The 24,005-nt window shown below is 41.2% G+C and overlaps 2 protein-coding genes across 3 annotated transcripts; both read left to right on the top strand.

The window, feature by feature from the left end:
- Window positions 1-6,065: 6,065 nt before the first annotated feature.
- Window positions 6,066-23,928, top strand: SERF1B (small EDRK-rich factor 1B). Of its 2 annotated transcripts, none has more exons than NM_022978.3 (3): window positions 6,066-6,273; window positions 7,222-7,330; window positions 22,339-23,928. In NM_022978.3, the coding sequence occupies exons 1-3, from the start codon at window positions 6,267-6,269 to the stop codon at window positions 22,553-22,555; spliced, it is 333 nt and encodes a 110-aa protein (NP_075267.1). In that variant the 5' UTR covers window positions 6,066-6,266; the 3' UTR covers window positions 22,556-23,928. The 2 variants fall into 2 exon arrangements, with proteins under 2 accessions (NP_075267.1, NP_001171558.1); NM_001178087.2 differs by lacking the exon at window positions 22,339-23,928 and adding an exon at window positions 13,130-13,511.
- LOC107986372 (mitochondrial import receptor subunit TOM5 homolog) lies at window positions 23,233-23,792 on the top strand. The gene is made up of 2 exons (XM_047418006.1): window positions 23,233-23,262; window positions 23,376-23,792. The coding sequence occupies exons 1-2, from the start codon at window positions 23,233-23,235 to the stop codon at window positions 23,595-23,597; spliced, it is 252 nt and encodes an 83-aa protein (XP_047273962.1). The 3' UTR covers window positions 23,598-23,792.
- Window positions 23,929-24,005: the final 77 nt, after the last annotated feature.

Here is a 24,005-nt window from a genome sequence, read left to right on the forward strand (position 1 = left end):
CAGCCTTGCATCAAAATCCAAAGGCTCTGCCTGTCTTCTCTGGCACCTTCCCATTGATCCTTCACAGAAATTTCCCCCCCAAATTTCTCCAACATATAATTATAACTTGGTGATTAGAACTGACGAGTAAGTAGCAAACACTAATCTAGGACAAGCATACTTTTCAAAAGGAATGTTACTTGTTGATTGTAACTTTTAAGAATTTACTTTACATTAACATCAACTCAACTGTGCAGTAAAAATAAATAAATCATTAATTTTAACATTTTTATTTTTAACGTTATGTGTTCTAGAAGAAAGTTTGTAGTTGGCCCGGCGCGGTGATTCATGCCTGTAATCCCTGCACTTCGGGAGGCCGAGGCAGGTGGATCACTTGAGGCCAAGAGTTCCAGACCAGCCTGGCCAGCATGGCAAAACCTCATCTTTACTAAAAATGCAAAAATTAGCTGAGCGTGGTGGCGGTTGCCTGTAATTCCAGCCATTTGGGAGGCTGAGGCAGGAGAATTGCTTGAACCTGGGAGGCAGAGGTTGCAGTGAGCCAAGAAACTGTCTCAAAAAAAAAGAAAAAAGAGAAAGAAGGAAAGAAAGAAAGAAAGAAAAGTTCTAGTTTCTCACTTTACGAGAAATGGGTCAGCACTGTCTTTTCCATATCAACATAAAACAATTGTGTGGGCTCTTTGACTAAAAATATAAAATGTACCTGAGAAATGTATATACTAAGTTATTTTTAATCTTGATGAACTATTGCTTTACCAACATATTGGAAGCTGTGTTAGTAGTGGCCTAATTTTCCAGAATTTTGATGATGCATATATGTGAGTATATCTTAAGCTAATGAAACTAATTAATGGATTGTAAAATTTTCTCTTTTGCTTCTCCCTTTTCCATGCCAGTTTTCACATAAATAGGACAATATCTTCTTACTTTTCCTGTCATCATGAGAATGCTGGACTAAGAATTTATGGGCATTAACCCCCCCATCTATTTAACCACCTATATTACATGTGTCCCTGATGTAACCTGAGCAAACTTAGCAAGTCTTTTATTCTGGGTGAATGCCCCGCTTCACCCAAATCATGAATGCTCTTTGCTTCATGGAACTCTATTGCTTTTGTTCCCAGAACCAATTATATCTTAGCTAATCTCTTGCCCCTTTAATTATCCTTGATAGTTTTCCAAATAAAATATGCAATCTGTGAACACTTTATTAGTCCCACTCTCTGGTTTATCCATTCATGGGTAAGGATACAGAATTGTCTGAATCCAGCTTATTATAAATTCATTATTCTCAATTGTGCCCAATGACAAAATTTTCCTTGCCCTGGGTCAACAATATTCTCAGTCATCTCTACTATTTAACTGTAAATCTCAAACTATGTGCTGTTTAGAATTATATGTGCCTATCCCATTCTGCCGGACGTACGTGTTCTTTTCTCCATGAGATTTACATCCTGTAATGCTCTGATTCAGAATTTTGGGGCCCAATCCCTATTCATTTGTGTCTTAACAGTCTTTGAAGGGATGTTTGACTTCAAGGATTCCTTGAAGTTTCCCTCTGAGCAAAGGTGAGATGCCTTTTGATTCATGCTTGCGTCATTACTAGCCCAGGTTTAGCTGACTTTTTTAGTGTAGGATTTGCAATTAACACACAATAAAGGCTCTCTGAACTTTAGTCTCTTTTCGAGGGAAATAACCATAAACATACTGCCACTCAGTACAGATGGAGAGGTTAGTGAAAATAAGCAGCATTTATGAAGGCATGCCAGAAGGACTATGGGCCAGCCATTTTCTCTGGATACTGGAAATTCTTCCTGTAATGAAGCCAGACCTGCATAGAGTATTAATACTCAACCACACAAAATTCAGATCTTACAGAAGTGCTTTTACAAAATATTCTTACAAAGACTCAGAGGGGGAAATTACAAGAAAATATTCTGTGAAACATCAGATTATTTACTTAAAGTTATTGTTGATGGCCATTATTTTCAGTACTCTTAGAAAAAGGATAATGAGAGATTTTTTTATTATGCAGCTAAAAGGAATAGTTTTGCCTTTTATTGAACAAAACAATTGTGTGTATGTTCATTTAACTTCTGGAAGATCTGAATCATGTAATTGTATCTGTTTTTTTCTATTTGTGGATAGACAGAACACTTAGAGCCACATGTGGAATACATTGCTAGAAACTAATTCTTCTTGGCATGGACTTTGTATACTAACTTAGTCCCTGGTTTCAAAGAATTTTTATTTTTCTTTCATTTTGATGTCCTCATCTAATTAATTTTATTGTATTTCATTCTGTTGGGTTATATGCAATTATAAGGCACAAAGTCTTACTGAAAAAAGAACATGAAATAAGCAAATATGCAAAAAAGATTAATATTCTATGAACAGTTCATATCTCATGCTTATACATAACTATCAAAGCACACACAATACTTGACATTTTATACATGTTCAGCAAACATTTATTTACCAAATGAAGAAAACTAGGGATTGGAAAACAAAGCTGTTTCTTCAATATTTTTTATTTATTAAAAAATACTACTAGAGTTTGTAATCCTGGCTGACTTTTATCTCAAAAGAGTCAACTCTGTATTATTGAAGTGCAGATTAATGGTTTAAATATTAATTGCATCCAAAATTTACATATTCTTATATAATTAAAATATACACTATATTTTTGAAAAGTTTAATTATTAACGATCAGTTTAACAACTAGAGATATAAGAATATATATGCTATTGGAATTTGTGATTAGCAAATTCCACTTGGAGTCTGCAACGTACAATGACATGCAAATTCCATTTTCCATTGTTTGTATTGTATTTTTAAACATCAAAAGAAAAAATGTTTTTAACTTTAACTCTAATATAATGTTGTCAAATAAGTGAAAGAGTTGTTAGACTTTAAAAAAACACATTACAATAGTGAGAAGCAGAATAAGTTATTTGTGATATGAAAGAGAAAAATGATGAGTTAATATAATTTTAATTCCAGTTGAGTTAAGAAAATGAAAAAGTGCATCATTGTCTCTTCTACTTGCAAATGATATTTCTTCTATTTTTAAGAGAGTAAAATTTGTCTTTCAGTTGACAGTGAGTTACAGGTGAAAAGCTTTTACTCTGATGTTTTACAGAACTGCTAAAATGTCCATGTGTTATTCTATAGAGAATTGTAATAGAGTTTAGTAGTATAAAAGTGTGAAAGATGTTTTTTACCTTAATATATGATATTTACTTGGTTGAGTTATATAACATTCAAAAATAGAGAATTTGGAGCCTGAAAACCTTGATTTCAGTTTAGCCTCCACTACTTACTGGATTTGTGACCTTAAGCAAGTTATTTCATTTTTCTCAAACTGGGTTTCCTCTTAGATGAAAATAACAATATCTACCTTCCTTTCATGTGATTTATTGAGACCAAATTGGAGTAATAGATAGTATAACTAGAACTTGGTTTTAAGTTATTTAAACATTATTTACTAGGTAAAACTTGTGCCTGTATAAAAATGAGAAACTTTATCTCTGAATGCAGATGCCATGTTTTCATTATTTGATAGAGATAAATAAACATGGAAATTGTATTACAATTTATACCAAACTGCAAGGGGCCAGGTGAGTCAACCAAATTATACGGACATGTCAAAACATGCTGTTTTACTTTGTTTTCATACTGCTATAAAGAACTGCCAGAGACTGTGTAATTCATAAACGAAAGAGGTTTAACTGAATTACAATTAAGCATGGCTGGGGAGGCCTCAGGAAACTTAGGAAATCATAGCAGAAGTTGAAAGGGAAGCAAGGAAACTTCTTCACAAGGTGGCAGGAAGAAGTGCCGAGCAAAGCGGGGAAGAACTCCTTATAAAACCATCAGATAACCTGAGAACTCACTCACTATCACAAGAACAGCAAGGGGCAAACCACCCCCATGATTCAATTACCTCCACCAGGTCTCTCCCTTGCTAGGTGGGGATTACGGAGATAATAATTCAAGATGAGATTTGGGTGGGGACACAAAGCCTAACTATATCACATTGAGTGAATGCATGCATATTCTTAAATGCAAAAATTGTAAATACATATATAAATAGATAAATAGATGTTTAGTGGAATGTAGATTTCTCTAAATATCTATGCAATTTTCATGAATATGAGGTGCAGGAACAATAACATTAAGAGTATCTAATATTATCTCAGCTCATACTGGCTGTGGTGTAGAATTCATAAGAGGAAGGCAGATTAAGTTCCCATTTCTTAGCTATTCTTAATATAAAGCAGTTTTAAAAACCCTGGTTATAGGATCCTATGAGACAAGCCTTAAAGGTATCTGATTGATTTAGATATAAATGACATATGGTTTTTTTTCTTATTATCAAGATGTTTTTGTAAATCTCATCTTTTTAAAGTGTCTCTTAATACACTTCTCTTTTTAACATTGGCTTCTAGAAAAAAATAATGAAGTAAGAAAAGAAAAGGGATTCTACATCTTGAGTGAGAAATTGCCTTATAAAAATGAACAAATAGAGGCTGGATGCAGTGGCTCACACCTGTAGTCCCAGCACTTTGGGAGGCTGAGGCAGGCAGATCACTTTAGGTCAGGAGTTCAAACCCAGCCTGGCCCACATGGTGAAAACCCATCTCTACTAAAAATGCAAAAATTAGCCAAGTGTGGTGGCACGCACCTGTAATTTCAGCTACTTGGGAGGCTGAAGAAGAAGAATTGCTTGAACCCAGGAGGCGGATGCTGCAGTGCACTGAGATCACGCCACTGCACTCCATCCAGCCTGGGTGACAGAGCAAGACTCCTCCGTCTCAAAAAGCAACAACAATAACAACAAAAACAAATAGAATAAGTGAAGAGATTTGATCTTATAATTGGTTGGAATATCCCATAACACTGCACTGTTTATGTTTGCACAATAATGAAAGTTCATTGAGTACATGTTCACTGACATATATGGATCCTCAGAAATATATATCTTAAACATATATATAAGTATATATAAATGTATACTCATACGCATAACTCAGATGTATGCAAAGACTTCATATATCTAGAATGTATATTGTGTATATTCTATATAATATGTAATGGAGGTTGATAGACATAACCTTTTCTTGATGGTGTAGGTTAGAAATAACTGGTTCATTTAGGGTAGGGCAGATTTCACTTGCACTGATATGGACAAATCAGTGTTAATGACAGAATGCAATAGAGTCATCCTGCTATGTAAACAGAAGCATAGATAACAAATAATACAAAATATGATAAAAGTTTACCTCATTCATAACATCATTTATCTGACCCTTTCCCGCAATTTATCTGGCCTATCTGCCACCATTTAATTAAAAAAATTACAGTGATTATATCATGACTGCTTTCAAATCTCACTGTACAACTCTAAAAACATACACTTATTTGATAGCCTTGAATTTCAGCAGAAAAGATAATACTTATAAGAGGTATAGACTTTAAAATATATCATATTTGTGCAGAATATTTTAAGTTATAAATATGTATGCATAAGGCCTAGTTGATGTAACATTAGTATAGATGCTACAAATGCAAGTTCATTAAAGAATATTAAGATATTCTTCCCTGTAAATCTAAGGAAGCAAAACAATGGGAAATTTCTCAAAGATCTAAAGCAGGAGATGAAATAGGGACAAACTGAGTGTTTGCTCAACCGTAATTGTGAAGCAATCAGTTTAATTTTCTCACAGTTGATTTTGTTTAATTAGGAGATGACATTAGCTAACTTTGCAGTTCTACATCGTTGCAAAAAGGACAGAGGAGGTTTTGACATATTGTGCCTTTACTATTAAAGAAATATCATTCAGTGAGTTTTTTGTACACATTTCTATTTGTGTGGTTTTTTTCACTGAAAATAATGCTTTTAAATTTCAGAATACAACAGCTTAACTTATCACATAATAGAGATATACATATTGTATATCCCTTTTAAAATTAGTGCTAATGTAGCATGAGGGAAATGTAATTCAACAAGCTCGGAGCCCCGGCCGAGCTTCGGAGCCCCGGCCCAGCCCCGGCCGCGCACGCGCAGTGACGCGCCGGCCATGCCGGCGGCTGTTGTCGGGCCTCCAGCGGGCGGGGCCGTTGGCGGAGCAGAGGGGAGGCGCAGCCGGGCGGAGGGCCCACGAGGGCTCAGCCTTCCCGGTCAGCGGTGGTGACGGTATCCCAGAGTGCCAGAGAACCGTTGCTTTTCCGAGTTGCTCTTCTTCCAGGCTCCGTTGGTGGTCGGCATGGCCCGTGAGTGGGGGTGGGAAGCGGCGGCGAGCGTCCGGCGTGGGAGCCTAGCGCTGAGGCGCGGCGGGCGGGGGAGGCGGAGTCCGGCTGGAGAATCCCCCTGGGTCGCGCAGTGCGGGGATCCCCGCTTCAGTCGGCAGAGAGAGAGCTCGCGGGTGGTTCCGGTCCGGCTTTTCAGGCCGGACGGGTGCCTGCCCCTCAGGTGCGAGTTTGTGCGGTAAAGAACACACCCCGGAGATGTGGACACGGCCGCCCCAGGAGGGTCCTTGTTTGGAGGTACTTTATAGCTGATACCTCAAGTCTTAAGGCCTAATGAGGACCGGGAACTCCAGTGAGTCGCCTCCCTAGTTCTTTTGTTTGGCGCTCGCAGGTAGTAGCCGAATAAACAGGAGGCTTTAGAGCCGGTCCTAAATTTGATGTTCGTTTGTACCAGTCCTAGGTGTTAGGTCAGTCTGTTCTGCAAAATGAAAACAATGAAGCCTACCTTGCAGGGTTGTGGCTAGAATAAGGATGTAAAGGCCCACACTGCCTTTCGCAGACTTACCTTCAATCTGTTCAGTCTCCATCCACCCCTCTCCGCCTCTGCATGGGGATAAAGGTAACTCTCAAATGATGGGCTGAACTTGTGATCTCTGTATCTAGCTTTCTCTTCCACCCACTCCCCTCAAAAGCCAGAACTTATTTTGGGATACCGGCCCAAGATTCGAATATCTGTTTTAAAATATCTGGTATTTATAGCTAGTGACCACCTAGATTGGTATGATAATACTCTTAAGTCTTTAAGTGTTTAAGCCACTTCCTTATTGTCAGATCTAGGAGCACCATCAATCTGTTACTCTGCTAGTTTATCTATGAAAACACAAACTAAAGATGCATTTAAATAAGGCCTGTTTATTGGAATTATTAATAATTTTGGAGATGGGAAAAGAGCATGACTGTTTGACTTTGTAGGTGGAAATCAACGAGAACTTGCCCGCCAGAAAAACATGAAGAAAACCCAGGAAATTAGCAAGGGAAAGAGGAAAGAGGATAGCTTGACTGCCTCTCAGAGAAAGCAGAGGTACGTGGTACTAATTTAATTCTAAAGTCACTGACGTTGTGATTGAAGCAACATTTTGGGCTGGGTGTGTTGCCTCATGCCTGTAATCCCGGCAGTTTGGGAGAGTCGGGAGAACTGCTTGAAGCCAAGAGTTTGAGACCAACTTGGACAACATAGCCAGCCCCTGTATCTACAAAATATTTTTTTAAATTGGCCAGGCATGGTAGCACATGGCTGTGGTCTCGGCTACTCTGGAGGCTGAGGCGGGAGAATCGCTTGAGCCCAGGAGGTTAAGGCCGCAGTAAGCTGCGATTGCACCACTGCACTCCAGCCTGGATGGCAGAGTTAGACCCTGTCTCAAAAAAAAAAAAAAAAAAAAAAAAAGAAGGCCTCATTTTGGGGAACAGAAAGCATTTTGTTAAGCCCTTGGTAGAACAGGGCCTAATGATTTGTGCCAGGCGGACTAAAACCACGTGGGGTAGACATCCCAACATATAGATAAAAACGTAAAGCTCTGAAGCTATTATTTGTTTCACAGAGACTCATGCAGCTCCTCCACAACCATAAGAACTTTTTATAGGCTGGGCGCGGTGGCTCACGCCTGTAATCTCAGCACTTTGGAAGGCCAAGGTGGGTGGATCACCTGGGGTCAGGAGATCGAGATCAGCCTGACCAACATAGTGAAACCCTATCTCTACTAAAAATACAAAATTAGCTGGGTGCAGTGGCACATGCCTGTAATCCCAGTTACTTGGGAGGCTGAGGCAGGAGAATCGCTTGAAACCGGGAGGGGGAGGTTGCAGCGAGTGAAGATTGTGCCATTGCAATCCAGCCTGGGTACTGAGCGGGAAACTCTGTATCAAAAAAACAAAACAAAACAAAAAAAAACAACTTTATTCAGCAAAATAACATCTTCTATATGCAAAACACTGTGAGGTGCTAGAGTTACAACATTTTCAAAGTAGACAGCCTACCCAAACTACTCTGAATGACAAGGGACTCAATTATTAATATATAATGATAATAGTTCTCAAGAAGATACAAAAAAGTATATGCATAATAGCTAGCTGTGCTGATTTCTGAAGATCCATTGCATTGGAGAGAATTCATGTACATAGCCTTAATATATGACTATATGTGCCAATGTAAAACTGCTACAGAAATACTTTAGACTGCAGCTTAAGTAAAAAAAAGTACACTCATGTTTCTAAAAGAGCTAATCAAAGCTTAATTTTATTCTCAAATGATTTTGTCCATATGGAACTTGGAGGTTAAGCGAATAACTGACTGCATGTGCTTCAGTGTGGCTTGTTAGGGGTTCTCAATCCTGGCTGCACATTAGAATCACCTGGGAAACCTTGACAGCTACTCAAGCCTTGCGTTATGCTCAGTTTTGATTTTTTGTTTTTTTAAAAAATTGAATTACAATAGTTGTACATATTTTGGGGGTACATGTGATCTTTTAATACCTGTATGTGGGCTGGGTAGTCCCAGCCACTTGGGAGGCTAAGGCAGGAGAATCACTTGAACCTGGGAGGCGGAGGTTGCAGTGAGCCGAGATCCTGCCATTGCATTCCAGCCTGGGTGACAGAGTGAGACCCTGTCTCAAAAAAACAACAACAAAAAGAAACTGGCTTGGCGTGGTGGCTCATACCTGTTAGCCCAGCACTTTGGGAGGCCGAAGCGGGTGGATTACCTGAGGTTGGGAGCTCAAGACCATTCTGACCAACATGGAGAAACCCCATCTCTACTAAAAATACAAAATTAGCCAAGTGTGTGGCCGGGCGCGGTGGTTCACGCCTGTAACCCCAGCACTTTGGGAGGCCCAGGCGGGCGGATCACGAGGTCAGGAGATCGAGACCATCCTGGTTAACACGGTGAAACCCCGTCTCTACTAATAATACAAAACTTAGCCGGGCGAGGTGGCAGGCGCCTGTAGTCCCAGCTACTTGGGAGGCTGAGGCAGGAGAATGGCGTGAACCCGGGAGGCGGAGCTTGCAGCGAGCCGAGATCGTGCCACTGCCCTCCAGCCTGGGTGACAGAGCGAGACTCCGTCTCAAAAAAAAAAAAAGCCAACTGTGGTGGCGAACACCTGTAATCCTAGCTACTCGGCAGGCTGAGACAGGAGAATCACTTGAACCTGGGAGGCGGAGGTTGCGGTGAGCTGAGATCTCGCCATTGCACTCCAGCCTGGACAACAAGAGTGAAACTCCGGCCGGGCGCGATGGCTCATGCCTGTAATCCCAGCACTTTGGGAGGCCAAGGCAGGAAGATCACGAGGTCAGGAGATCGAGACCACGGTGAATCCCTGTCCGTACTAAAAATACAAAAAATTAGTCGGGCGCAGTGGCGGGCGCCTGTAGTCCCAGCTACTCGGGAGGCTGAGGCAGGAGACTGGCGTGAACCCGGGAGGCGGAGCTTGCAGTGAGCTGAGATCGCGCCACCGCACTCCAGCCTGGGCGACAGAGCGAGACTCCGTCAAAAAAAAAAAACCTTTATGTGTACAATGTGTAATGATCAAATCGGGGTAATTGGGATATCTCTATGCTCAAACATTTATCTTTCATCCAGTTCTGATTTAATTGGTCAGAGGTCGAGCATTAAAAAGCACCCTAGGTAAATTTTACTGTACTTAGGTTATGCCTTTTTTTTTTTTTTAAAGGCAGAGTCTTATTCTGTTGCCCATGCTGGAGGGCAGTGGCGTGATCTCGGCTCACTGCAACCTCCACCTCCTGGGCTTAAGCGATTCTCCTGCGTCAGCAATCCAAGTAGCTGGAATTGCAGGCGTCCGCCACCATGCCCAGCTAATTTTTGTATTTTTAGTAGAGACTGGGTTTCACCGTGTTGGCCAGGCTGGTCTCAAACTACTGACCTCAAGTGATCCACCCGCCTCGGCCTCCCAAAGTGCTGGGATTACAGGCGTGAGCCACCACGCTGGCCCAGTTATACCTTTTTTTTTTTTTTTGAATTTTTTTTTTATTATTACGCTTTAAGTTCTAGGGTATATATGCACAACGTGCAGGTTTGTTACATAGATATACATGTGCCATGTTGGTTTGCTGCACCCATCAACTCATCATTTACATTAGGTATTTCTCCTGATGCTATCCCTCCCCCAGCCTCCCAGCACACCCAGTTATACCTTAAACTGAACTTAAAACAGCTCCCAGGTGATTCTAATGTGCAGCCACTATTAAGAGTCATTGATAAATGAGATTAAAGACCTTAATTTAAGGCAAAGGTCCTGACACCTTTTTTTTTTTTTTCCCAGATATGGCGTCTTACTCTGTGACCCAGACTGGAGTGCAGTGCCACAGTCTCGGTTCACTGCAAGCTCTGCCTCCCAGGCTCAAGTGACCCTCCCACCTCAGCCTTCTGAGTAGCTGGGACTACAAGGGCACACCACCAAGCCCAGATAGTTTTTATATTTTTTGTAGAAACGGGGTTTCATCATGTTGTCCAGGCAGGTCTTGAACTTCTGGGGTCAAGTGATTTGCCCACCTCAGTCCCCCAAAGTGCTGGAATTACAGGTGTGAGCCACTATGCCCGGCCCTAACATTTATTATTAAAGTGATAAGCTTTGTCTTCAATTTCTGTTGACTCACATTAGAGTAAAAATGAACATGGTATGAATCAGTGACCCTGCAATAGTATTTTTATTGGAGAACCTAGTCTAGCTTGGTTCAGAAATTGTCATTGTTTACCAGATATGCACTCCTTATAAAATTCTATGCTAGACATTCTATATACATTATTCTTTATTCATCATAACTCTGAAAAATGGTATTAGCACTAATCTGTAGAATAGGAAACTGAGGCTCTGAACTTCAGTAACATTACTAAAGTTACACAGCAAGCACAACAGAGCTTGGTTTCAAATAGAGAAGTAACTGTCATGGTTCTTTTTCCACTGTACTTCATTTCTTTATAGCTATGTTTTTGTTTTTGTTTTAGTGAAAGCAAGTTTATTAGGAAAGTAAAGAAATAAATATTGGCTACTTTATAGGCAGAACAGCCTGTAGCTGTGTTATTTTGCCTTTCTTCTTTATTTTTATTTTATTTTATTTTATGTTTTTGAGACGGAGTTTCGCTCTTGTTGCCCAGGCGGAGTACAATGGCGCAATCTCAGCTCACCGCAACCTCCACCTCTCGGGTGCAAGTGATTCTCCTGCCTCAGCCTCCCAAGTAGCTGGGATTACAGGCATGCACCACCATGCCTGGCTAATTTTGTATTTTTAGTAGAGATAGGGTTTCTCCATGTTGCTCAGTCTGGTCTCAAACTCTCGACCTCAGGTGGTCCGCCTATCTCAGCCTCCCAAAGTGCTGGGGTTACAGATGTGAGCCACTGGCCTATTTTGCCTTTCTTCTATTCCCTTGTTTTTGCTATTGGCTTTACAGAAATATCTTACCATCATGGCTGTGGAAATCAGTTTAGCATTTCCTCAAAAAGTTAAAACAGGCCAGGCTCAGTGGCTTACACTTGTAAATCCAGCACTTTGGGAGGCCGAGGCGAGCGGATCAACTTGAGGCCAGGAGTTCGAGACAAGCCTGGCCAACATGGTGAAACCCTGTCTCTACTAAAAATACAAAAATTAGGTGGGCTTGGTTGCACATGCCTGTAATCCCAGCTACTTGGGAAACTGAGGCAGGAGACTCGCTTGAACCAGGGAGGTGGAGGTTGCAGTGAGCAAAGATTGTGCCACTGCACTGCAGCCTGGGCAACAGAGCAAGACTCTGTCTCAAAAAAATAAATAAAAAATTAAAAAGTTTGAAACATGAGGTTAATAAGTCAGAGTTGTGGGACTTTAACCAGAGCTGGTAGAGTGCTTGACACACAGTAGATGTTGAATGCATGGCCGTTTAGTCTGTTTTTAAAATATGGGTCCATGGACTCATGAATCACCTAACCCAGGTAGTCTGGTCATAGTTCACAGTTTATATGGCATGTGTCAGTTTGACTGGAGATGAGAAGGGTTAAGGGCTGGGCGCAGTGGCTCACACCTGTAATCCCAGCACTTTGGGAGACTGAGGCAGGCGGATCACAAGGTCAGGAGTTCGAGACCAGCCTGGCCAATATGGTGAAACCTCGTCTCTACTTAAAATGCAAAAATTAGTCGGGTGTGGTGGCGCATGCCTGTAGTCCCAGCTACTCAGGAGGCTGAGGCAGAAGAACTGCAAGCAGGAAGTGGAGGTTGCAGTGAGCCAAGATCGTTCCACCGCACTCCAGCCTGGGGGACAAAGCGAGACTCCGTCTCAAAAAAAAAAAAAAGTACCCTGAACATCCAGCTTTTCTTTATTGTAATCCAGTTTTAGTGACTAGCTTTTGGGCTTTTTTGCTTGTAAGAAACTGAAATCCTTCATAATATCTATGTTCTAGTCGTAGATACCAGTTAGGATACCTAGGAGAGTTCTTAAATGCCTCTTCTTTCAAGGAAAAAAATTAGAATGAATTAACTAGTTAACAACCAAGAGTAATAGCTATTATTTCTACATGTAGCTGCCTAATGTCACACACTTTTATATATTCATAGTGATTCCTTGTAACAACCTTGATACATATTGCCCGGATTTTGAAAGGGCTTTGAGGTTATTTGCCCAAGGTCATGATAACAGAGATGGTATTCAGAATAAGATCTGACTTCAAAGCCTTTCCAGTCTGTCTTTCCATTTTGTCTCCAGCCATGAAAATGGAAAGACAAAAAAGTTTATATCCTCTTTTAAATTGTCTTCTAATACACTGAATGGGTTATGTGTAGAAACCAAGTGAGAATATATAATTGGTTTTTCTGTAACAACTTATAGACTTTTCCCTCATTGTAGGGACTCTGAGATCATGCAAGAAAAGCAGAAGGCAGCTAATGAGAAGAAGTCTATGCAGACAAGAGAAAAGTGATGACTGGCTATTTGGAAAACCTGGGTGCTACTGCCAACTGGGTGTATCATAAGCTCTAAGATCAAGATTTTGTAGAGTGGACAGTCATTACATATGTTATAACTTATCCTTTAAAAACTATTTTAAACTTTATCCTTTCAGCTTTACTTAGTGCGATGTTTTAGAAGCAGTCTTCAAAGAATAAAACACTAACCATGCATGTGACATATTGGTGAACATTATTTTTATTATTGAACATTCATATATAATTTATTAGGTAATATGATCAGATAATAGGATCTCTTATATAATAAAGAATCTTTGTCATCAGCTTTGTTAACATAGTTTTTTTTTCCTCACAGTTTCTAAGGATAAGGATAAAATAGATCTTTGAAGTAAACTTAAATATATAATAGAAGTTAGGGTCCATTTGTATAATTTTGCTTTGAAATCAAGTTAAAGGGCCAGGTGCGGTGGCTTATGCCCACAATCCCAGCACTTTGGGAGGCCGAGGCGGGCGGATCACTTGAGGTCAGGAGTTTGAGACCAGCCTGACCAACATGATGAAACCTCATCTTTACTAAAAATACAAAAAAAAAAAAAAAAAAAAAATAGCCAGGTGTGTGGTGGCACATGCCTGTAATCTCAGCTACTCGGGAGGCTGAGGCAGGAAAATCGCTTGAACCCAAGGCAGAGGTTGCAGTCAGCAGATATTGCACCACTGCACTCCAGCCTGGGCAACAAAGCAAGACTCTGCCTCAAAAAAAAAAAAAAATCAACTTACAAAGCTTGCTTGAACAATTTACAACAGATACTTCAAACCACTGGAATAGAAACTAAGTGGATGTAAACTGAGGTCTCAGTTCTACTTATAGCTTTAACATTTTTTGGAATGAGTACCATATTTTCTGTTCTCAGCCTCTTCTAAAACTTGAGTCTTGATGGTAGTTATAAATTTGGAAATATGTAACCTAGAGAAATTAAGGTTTGAGACCTTGCTGCACTCTGAAGTAAACACAAAACTATGTCAGAGAGAATAAAAATGCCATTGTAGTAGTAAATAGAATAACTTAAAGTATTCTACAAATACTTGATTTTTCACATAATGCAATTTAACAAATTTTTCTGATCACCCAATATGTCAACCACTATCTGAATGGACAGATCTTGAAGTTAGCCTAACACAATATCTTGTGATTTGTCTCTTACCAGTGGTACCACCCATAAATAGGCTAGAATTTTTTGTGTCTAATACTGAATTCGACAACCAGGAAGTTTTTTGGGTTTTTGTGGGGTGTTTTTTTTTTTTTTGAGACAGAGTCTTGCTCTCTCGCCCAGGCTAGAGCGCAGCAGTGCCATCTCGGTTCACTGCAACCTCCGCCACCTGAGTTCAAGCGATTCTCCTGCCTCAGCCTCCTGAGGAGCTGGGACTACAGGCGCCCGCCACCACGCCCGGCTAATTTTTGTGTTTTTAGAAGAGATGGGGTTTCACCATTTTGGCCAGGCTGGTCTCAAACTACTAACCTCAGGTGATCCACCCTTCTTGGCCTCCCATAGAGCTGGGATTACAGGCGTGAGCCATCCCACCCGGCTGCAGTTTTTTAGCCTGAGTTTCTATCTTCATATTAGCCTAGATTTTTCATTAAATTAAAACATTGTTCTGGATCTTTGGTTAACTTTAGTCTTCAGAATATTCTATGATGGTAGTCACAAAGGCAAAAATTAAGTAGCTTAAGTTACATTCTAATAAAAGAAATAATAAAGAAATCTGATTGTACCACAAAGATTCTTTGTGGGCCTGGTTTCTGTAATTCTGTCTCCAGAATTTCTACACAGACTAATAAGCCATAAGTACAAAAAAACTTTTCATGCTTTAAGCTCTTTTCTTTGCCTTTTTTTTTAAATGAATAATTTCTTTAGTTTATCCTGTGGAATGGAAGAACTTTAGACCTTTTAATTCTTATAAATCGAGGGAAAGCTACGTTTCCAAAATAAAATGGATATTAGAATAAGGAAGATCTCTAGTTTGTAATCAATCATTAGTACTTTTTTTTTTTTTTTTTTGAGGCAGGATCTCGCCTTGTCACCCCGGCTGAGTGCAGTGGCACGAACGTGGCTCACTGCAGCCTCAACCTCCTGGGCTCAAGTGATCCTCCTGCCTCAGTCTCGTCTCCCAAGCAGTTGGGACTACAGGCGCATGCCACCACGTCAGGCTGATTTTTATATTTTTGGTAGAGATAGGGGTTTTGCCATGTTGCCCAGGCTGGTCTCCAACTCCTGAGCTCAAGTGAGCCACCTTCCACCTCTGCCCAAAGTGCTGGGATTACAGGCGTGAGCCACCATGCCTGGCCATTCTTGATTAATTTTTATGGCATTTAATTAAATAAATTTATTGTTAAGAGGTTTGATTTTTAACTGCAATATGACCAGATGTTTCCTCAAAGCAGGCGGAAAAATTATCGGAGAGGAAGAAAATTAAGTCTAATTGTTGGAGTATATTGACACCTATCATGTGGTATATTGTAATATATATATATATGCAATACATTGACACCAATCATGACACCACCATGTGGTATAGTTAAGGTAACTAAAAGTAGCTGAACTTATAAAGAGGGAAACAGGTCAATTATAGGATACTAAGGGAAAATACAGGTGAATAGCTTTTTTTTTTTTTTTTTTTTTTTTTTTTTTGAGACTGTGTCTTGCTTGCTCTGTTGCTGAGGCTGGAGTACAGTGGCACAATCTCGGCTGACTGCAACCTCTGCATCCCGGGTTCAAGCAATTCTCCTGCCTCAGCCTCCCAAGTAGCTGGGATTACAGGCGTGCACTACCACACCCAGCTAGTTTTTTTGTATTTTTAGTAGAGACAGGGTTTCACCATGTTAGCCAACCTGGTCTCAAACTCCTGATCTCAAATGATCTGCCTGCTTCGGCCTCCCAAAGTGCTGGGATTACAGATATGAGCCACCATGCCCATCCCTGGAGAATAATTTTAATTATTATTATTATTATTATTTTTTTTTTTTTTTGAGACGGAGTTTCGCTCTTGTTGCCCAGACTGGAGTGCAGTGGCGTGATACTGGCTCACCGCAACCTCTGCCTCCCGGGTTCTCCCACCTCAGCCTCCCGAGTAGCTAGGATTACAGGCATGAGCCACCACGCCCGACTAATTTTGTGTTTTTAGTAGAGACGGGGTTTCTCCATGTTGGTCAGGCTGGTCTCGAACTTCTGACCTCAGGTGATCCGCCCACCTCGGCCTCCCAAAGTGCTGGGATTACAGGCATGAGCCACCACGCCCAGCCTTAGGAGAATGATTGTAAAAAGTAAATTCATGTAATGATTTTATTTAGTTTGGATATTGTTAGGGCTTGTTGCTAAAGAAAGATAAAATTATTAGGTGAGATAGTACCAGATTTAGAATATAATTTGGAAAATACCAAACTCCATGGAACCCTCCCTTTAAACATCAAAAATCGTATTTTGCATCATTCTTAGGAGGTAGTGCGTTATCATTAGCAATTTTCATTAAGTCCTGCTGAAAATGAGAAGCAGCAGCCATTACTGCCCAAGATACACTGTGGTCAGTTTTATCAGTTACTTTTTTTTTTTTTTTAAACAGAGTCTCGCTTTGTCATCCAGGCTGGAGTGCAATGGTGCGATCTCCGCTCACTGCAACCTCCACTTCCGTGCCTGGCTAATTTTTTGTAGTTTTAGTAGGGATGGGGTTTCACCATCTTGGCTAGGCTGGTCTCGAACTCCTGATCTCAAGTTATCCACTCGCTGGCCATCAGTCATTTATTTTTGAATGCCTCTTCTATTAGTAGCATGTGTAAGAAATTGTGATCCATTTATCAAACTAGCCAGTTTTTGAAAATAGGGCTAAAAGGAAACGTTGATTTCTGACATTTTCCAAAAACTTAAAAAATTTTTATATAGGCTGGGCACAATAGCTCACGCCTGTAATCCCAGCATTTTGGGAGGCCGAGGCAGGTGGGTCATTTGAGCTCAGGAGTTTGAGACCAGCCTGGGCAACACAGAAAAACCTCATCTCTACCAAAAAAAAAAAAATTAGGTGGGTGTGGTGGTGCACGCCTGTAGTCCCAGCTACTTGGGAGGCTAAAGTGGGAGGATCACCTGAACCCAGAAGGTCAAGGCTGCAGTGAGCCGAGATTGCACCACTGCCCTCCACCCTGGGTGATAAGAGTGGGACCCTGTCTCAAAACATACACACACACACACACACACACACACACACACACACTCTCTCTCTCTCTCTCTCTCTCTCTCTCTCTCTCAAAAACACTTGGTCTGTTATTTTTACGAAATTGTCAGTCATAGTTATCTGTTAGACCAAAGCTGAGTAAGAACATTTATTACATTGCCTCCTACAACTTCATCAGCTAATGTATTTGCTATATAGCAATTACATATTGGAATATATTATCTTTAGAGATGGCCAAGTCATAAAACTGTCACTGAGAAAAGGAGAATGACAATGTGTATGCTCAAATGTACTTCCCTATAAATTTCCAAAAGACATGAAACTTACTACAGGTTTGTTTTTTTCACACCTTCACTTCTTAAAAACAAAAAAACTTTTACATAGCAGTAACTAATGCACATTAAAAGTTTATAAATAGCCTGCTATTGGATCATTTGCTTGGAAAAGTTGAGATTTTCAAATTTGATTATAACATAACTTTTGTAGAAATACACGGCCAGGTGCAGTAGCTCACATTTGTAATCTCAGCACTTTGGGAGGCTGAGGTGGGAGGATCGCTTGAGGCCAGGAGTTTGAGACCAGCCTGGGCAACATGACAAAACCCCATCTCCTCAAAAAGCACAAAAATTAGCCAGATGTGGTGGTGCACACCTGTAGTCCCAGCTACTTGGGGGACTGAGGTGGAAGGATGGTTTGAGTCTGGGAAGTTGAGGATGCAGTGAGCCAAGGTCATGCCACTGCACTCCAGCCAGGGTGACAAAGTGACACCCTGTCTCAATATAATAATTTTAAAAAGGTGCCTGTAATCCTAGCACTTTGGGAGGCCAAGGCGGGCGGATCACGAGGTCGGGAGTTCAAGACCAGCCTGGCCAATATGGTGAAACCCGTCTCTACTAAAAATACAAAAATTAGCCAGGTATGGTGGTGTGTGCCTGTAATACCAGCTACTTGGGAGGCTGAGGCAGGAGAATCGCTTGAACCCGGGAGGTGGAGATTTCAGTGAGCCGAGATTGCACCACTGCACTCCAGTCTGGGTGACAGAGCAAGACTTCATCTCAAAGAAATAAATAAATAAAAAACAAGGCCGGGCATGGTGGCTCATGCCTATAATCCAGCACTTTGGGAGGCTGAGGCTGAGGTGGGCAGATCACCTGAGGTCAGGAGTTCAAGACCAGCCTGGCCAACATGGTGAAACCCCGTCTCTACTAAAAATACAAAAATTAGCCAAGCGTGGTGGTGGGCGCCTGTAATCCCAACTACTTGGGAGGCTGAGGCAAGAGAATTTCTTGACTCTGGGAGGCAAAGGTTGCAGTGAGCCGAGACTGCACCACTGCACTCTAGCCTGAGCAACAGAACAAGACTCTGTCTCAAAAAAAAAACAAAAAAAAAAACATACAAACCGAATTTCCATTCCACATACTACTCTTGCTGTTTTACCACTTGGACAAGACTGCTTGCTGGTACATAAGTTCTGGAACACTTCCTTGCAGCAGTCTGGCTGAGCCTTGGTATTTAAAAGAAATTTACCTACCAGCCTGGCTATAATTGACATAATCCTATTAAATACTTGCCTTTTATGAACATATATCACATGACATAAGTTTTTGTCAAATACTTTTTTTTTTGGTCAAAGACTGTAGCCTTATACCACTCAAGGGGGCTGTTAGGGTAGCTTATGAATGGATATTTCATACAGAGTTACGTATTTAACCCATTTCCTGTTTAGAAAATAAAAGTGGCCAGGCGCCGTGGCTCACGCCTGTAATCCTAGCACTTTGGGAGGCCGAGGTGGGTGGATCACGAGGTCAGGAGATCGAGACCGTCCTGGCTAACATGGTGAAACCCCGTCTCTACTAAAAATACAAAACATTAGCCGGGCATGGTGGCAGGCGCCTGTAGTCCCAGCTACTCGGGAGGCTGAGGCAGGAGAAAGGCATAGACCCGAGAGGCGGAGCTTGCAGTGAGCCGAGATCATGCCACTGCACTCCATGCACTCCAGCCTGGGCGACAGAGTGAGACTCCGTCTCAAAAAAAAAAAAAGAAAAAAAGAAAAAAAAAGTGCAGCTGGCTGCCAGCGCTCATTTAATTTTACATAAACACACTCTGAGGTTGACGCAAATTAATTTTCAATGTGAAAATACACAAACTGTTCTTAGAGTTATTTCTAAACAGAACTTGTCTCTAATCCTAATATAATGGAAATGTATATAATGTTACATTAGGATTAGAGGCAAGAGTATTCTTGGGGCAAACGGGAAATGGGTTAGTATATACTTGAAGTAATATAACCACATCTAACCTGATTTCATGATATATTGGAATTTTTGGTTGCAAGCAACAGGATCAGATTAATGAACTTACTGATAAAAATCTTATTTGAAAGAATGAGAGACTCCAGAGTCATGGAAAAGTTGAGGACTCAAGGCTTTGGAAAGGTCAAGAATTGTAACAGTTTCAGGTATCTTAAGAGTAGGTGTTATGAGGTGTTTGTTTTTGTTTTTTTTTCTTACAGTGCTGATATCAGGTTGAACTTCTGACATGTATATTTAGTTTTTATGTCACTTGGAGTGCCTCCAACTGAAGTTACATGGGTTAGGTACCCATCCCTCAGCAAGAGGAGGGCAAGTTGATGGTAAAACCAACTCTAGTAAGGAGTAGGTGGTCCCCTGTATTAGTCCGTTCTCATGCTGATAATAAAGACATACTCGAGACTGGATAATTTATAAAGGAAAGAGGTTTAATTGACTCACAGTTGTGTATGGCTGGGGAGGCCTCAGGAAGCTTACAATCATGGCAGAAGGGGAAGCAAATACATCCTTCTTCACATGATGGCAGGAAGGAGAAGTGCAAAGCAAAAGGGGAAAAGCCCCTTATGAAACCATCAGATCTCCTGAGAACTCACTCACTATCATGAGAACAGCATGAAGGTAACCACCCCCATGATTCAATTACCTCCCACCAGGTCCCTCCCATGACACATGGGAATTATAGGAGCTACAATTCAGGATGAGATTTGGGTTGGGGACACAGCCAAACTATATCATCCCCCAAAAAATTTAGGGTTCTTTGCCAAAAGGAAGGGAGAATGGATGCTGAGCAGACTAAAATAATATATTTTAATCCCTCTTATTGAAAAGCTAAGACTAAATTTTTAAAATTGTATGTTTTTGTTTTTTTGAGACGGAGTGTCGCTCTGTCGCCCGGCTGGAGTGCAGTGGCGCGATCTCAGCTCACTGCAACATCCACCTCCCGAATTCAAACAATTCTCCCACCTCAGCCTCCTGAGTAGCTGGGACTACAGGAGCATACCACCATGCCCAGCTAATTTTTGTATTTTTAGTAGAGATGAGGTTTCACCATATTGGTCAGGCTGGTCTCGAACTGACCTCAGGCAATCTACCCACCTTGGCCTCCCAAAGTGCTGGGATTACAGACATGAGCCACCACGCCCAGCTAATTCTGTATTTTAAGTAGAGACGGGGTTTCACCATGTTGGTCAGGCTGGTCTCGAACTCCTGACCTCAGGTGATCCGCCAGCCTTGGCCTCCCAAAGTGCTGGGATTACAGGCGTGAGCCACCGAGCCTGGCTGTATTTTTAAATACAAAAATTTGCCAGGTATTGTGATGGGTGCCTGTAATCTCAGCTACTCGGGAGGCAGAGGCCGGAGAGTCACTTGAACCCAGGAGGTTGCAGTGAGCTGAGATCACACCACTGCACTGCAGCCTGGGTGACAGAATGAGACTCCATCTAAAAAAAGAAAAAAATGTATTTTTTAAAATACATGATATGGCAAATCATAAAGGTGGTAAGCATCTGAAGTGTGAGAAATAATCATGCAGCTTATGCAGTTTTTGTCTCTACCAATCTTTCAAACCCTCAAACTGCAATGCTTGCTCATTATAGAAAATCTGGGAAAATACAGTAAGTTCTAAATTTCCATAAATTCTAAATAGCATCTCTTTGAAAACTAACTCCTTGGGCATTTATCCCAGTGAAATGATAATAAACAGCCAGCATTTGAAATGTATATTTCAATGACTCGTATATGAATACTATGTTCAGATCACAATAAAGGACATTTCCAGCACCCTCTTAGATAATGCCTCCCATCTGATTATCACCATAGATTAGTTTTGCCTGTTTTTGAATTTTTTGTAAATGGGATCACACGGTATGTGCTGTAGTGAGCCTAGCTTGATTTGCTCAACGTTACGTCTAAAAGAATTCTCTATTTTGCTGCTATGCAGCAGTTCAGCCTTTTTCACTGTTGTGTAGCATTCTGTTATATGAATATACCATAATTTAGTTACTCTACATTTCATGGACCTTTGAATTGCTCCCACTTTGGGGCTGTTATGAATAATGCTACCGTAACATTTTTATATATCTTATGATGGTCTTAAACACGCTATCTACTGAGTATATGCCAGGAATGGAATTGCTGGGTCATAGGGTGTGTGTCTATACACACACATACACACATTTTTTAGTAGGTACCATCAAACAATTGCATTTTTGTTGTTTTTGTTTTAGTTTGTTTTTAATGACCATACCATTTTACCACCAGCAATAAAGGAAGGTTCCATTGCTCCATACCAGCATTAGGTATTATCAGTCCTTTTATCTTTAACCATATTGGTGGGAGGTAGTGGTATCTCATTGTAGTCTTAATTTACTTCCATATACTTAATTTAAATACACTCAATTTATATACACACACGTATACTCTCTCAGCCTTCAGTAAGCCAGTCCCATTCCCCTGAACTAACCAATGTTAATAATGGTATACTTCTCTCAGTGCTCATGCAAACATGCATACACACACATACACATAAATAAGGGGTGTGGGAATGTATTTGATTCTGAGAGCTGCTGTAACAAATTACCACAAACTTAGTGGCTTAAAACAACAGAAATATTTCTGTTCACAGTTCTGGAGGCCAGAAATCTGAGAGCAAGATGTCAGCTGGGCCACACCTCCCTCTGAAGGCTCCAAGGGAGAATCCTTGCTTTCCTCTTCCAGCTGCTGGTGGCTCCAGGTATTACTTGGCTTATGGCAGCATAACTCCTATCTCTGCCTTTGTCTTTGTGGTCTTCTTTTCTGTCTTCTTCCCTTCTTTTTATGAGGACTTTTGCTGTTGGATTTAGGTTCCATTCTAACCTAGGATGATCTCATTTGGAAATCCTTAATTTCATCTACAAAAACTGTTTTCCCAAATAGGTCACATTCACGCATATCAGATGGACAGATGTATCATTTTGGGGTCCACCATTCAACCCACTACAAGGAGTTTTTTAAACAAAAATAGGAAACTTAGATGTAACTTAGCACTTTTTTTTTTTTTTTTTGAGATGGAGTCTCACTCTGTCACCAGACTGGAGTGCAGTGGCGCCATCTCAGCTCCATGCAACCTCTGCCTCCTGGGTTCAAGCAGTTCTCTTGCCTCAGCCTCCTGGGTAGCTGGGATTACAGGCACGCGCTGCCACACCCAGGTAATTTATTTATTTTTTTTTTGAGACAGAGTCTCGCACTGTTGCCCAGGCTGGACTGCAGTGGCGTGATCTCTGCTCACTGCAACCTCCGCCTCCCGGGTTCAAGCGATTCTCCAGCCTCAGCTTCCTGAGTAGATGGGATTACAGGCGCCTGCCACCACGCCCAGCTAATTTTTTGTATTCTTAGTAGAGATGGGGTTTCACCATGTTGGCCAGGCTGGTCTCCATCTCCTGACCTCGTGATTCACCCGCCTCGGCCTCCCAAAGTGCTGGGATTACAGGCGTGAGTCACAGCCCCCGGCCATAATTTAGCACTTTAAAAAATAATAGCCATGTTGGGCCAGGCGTGGTGGCTCATGCCTGTAATCTGAGCACTTTGGGAGACCAAGGCGGGTAGATCCCTTGTGCCCAGGAGTTCAAGACCAGCCTGGGCAACATGGCGAAACCCCATTTCTACTAAAAATACAAAAATTAGCTGGGGCGAGGGGATAGGCCGAGTTCCGGGTGTAAGGGGGCCATTAGGGAGAGCAGAGCGAGGCAGCTGATCTTCCGGATTGGGGGCCTTGCCCGGAAGCTGGACCTCACGGAGATGAAACGGAAGATGCACGAGGATATGATCTCCATACAGAACTTTCTCATCTACGTGGCCCTGCTGCGAGTCACTCCATTTATCTTAAAGAAATTGGACAGCATATGAAGATTGGACATCACATGTGAATGCATGATATGAAGAGCCTGGTTACAGTTTCTACTGTTCTCTGCAAGTAAATAGGCCCAGAAAGGTATAAGAGACTCTTTGAATGGACATAAAAATTCTGCTTGTTAAGAACAAGTTGAGCTCTGGTAACTGATCTTAATAGCTAAAATATAAAAATATTTGGGAAGTCTGAAATGAGGTCTCCTGGCCCTGGTGTGCCCTTAATGCCTGTGACAGTTGGCCTCTGTGAATATTGGTATAATTGTAAATAATGTCAAACTCCATTTTCTAGCAAGTATTAATAATTAAGGGAAGTATGTCTGAAATGGCACTGTCTTGTCAGTCATTTCTGTTTACCCTTCTGTCTGGAGTGTATTTGTGAAGAGTCCCTTATAACTTATGTTTTAT

This window comes from Homo sapiens, chromosome 5 (genome assembly GCF_000001405.40).
Source record: "Homo sapiens chromosome 5, GRCh38.p14 Primary Assembly".
NCBI lineage: Eukaryota > Metazoa > Chordata > Mammalia > Primates > Hominidae > Homo > Homo sapiens.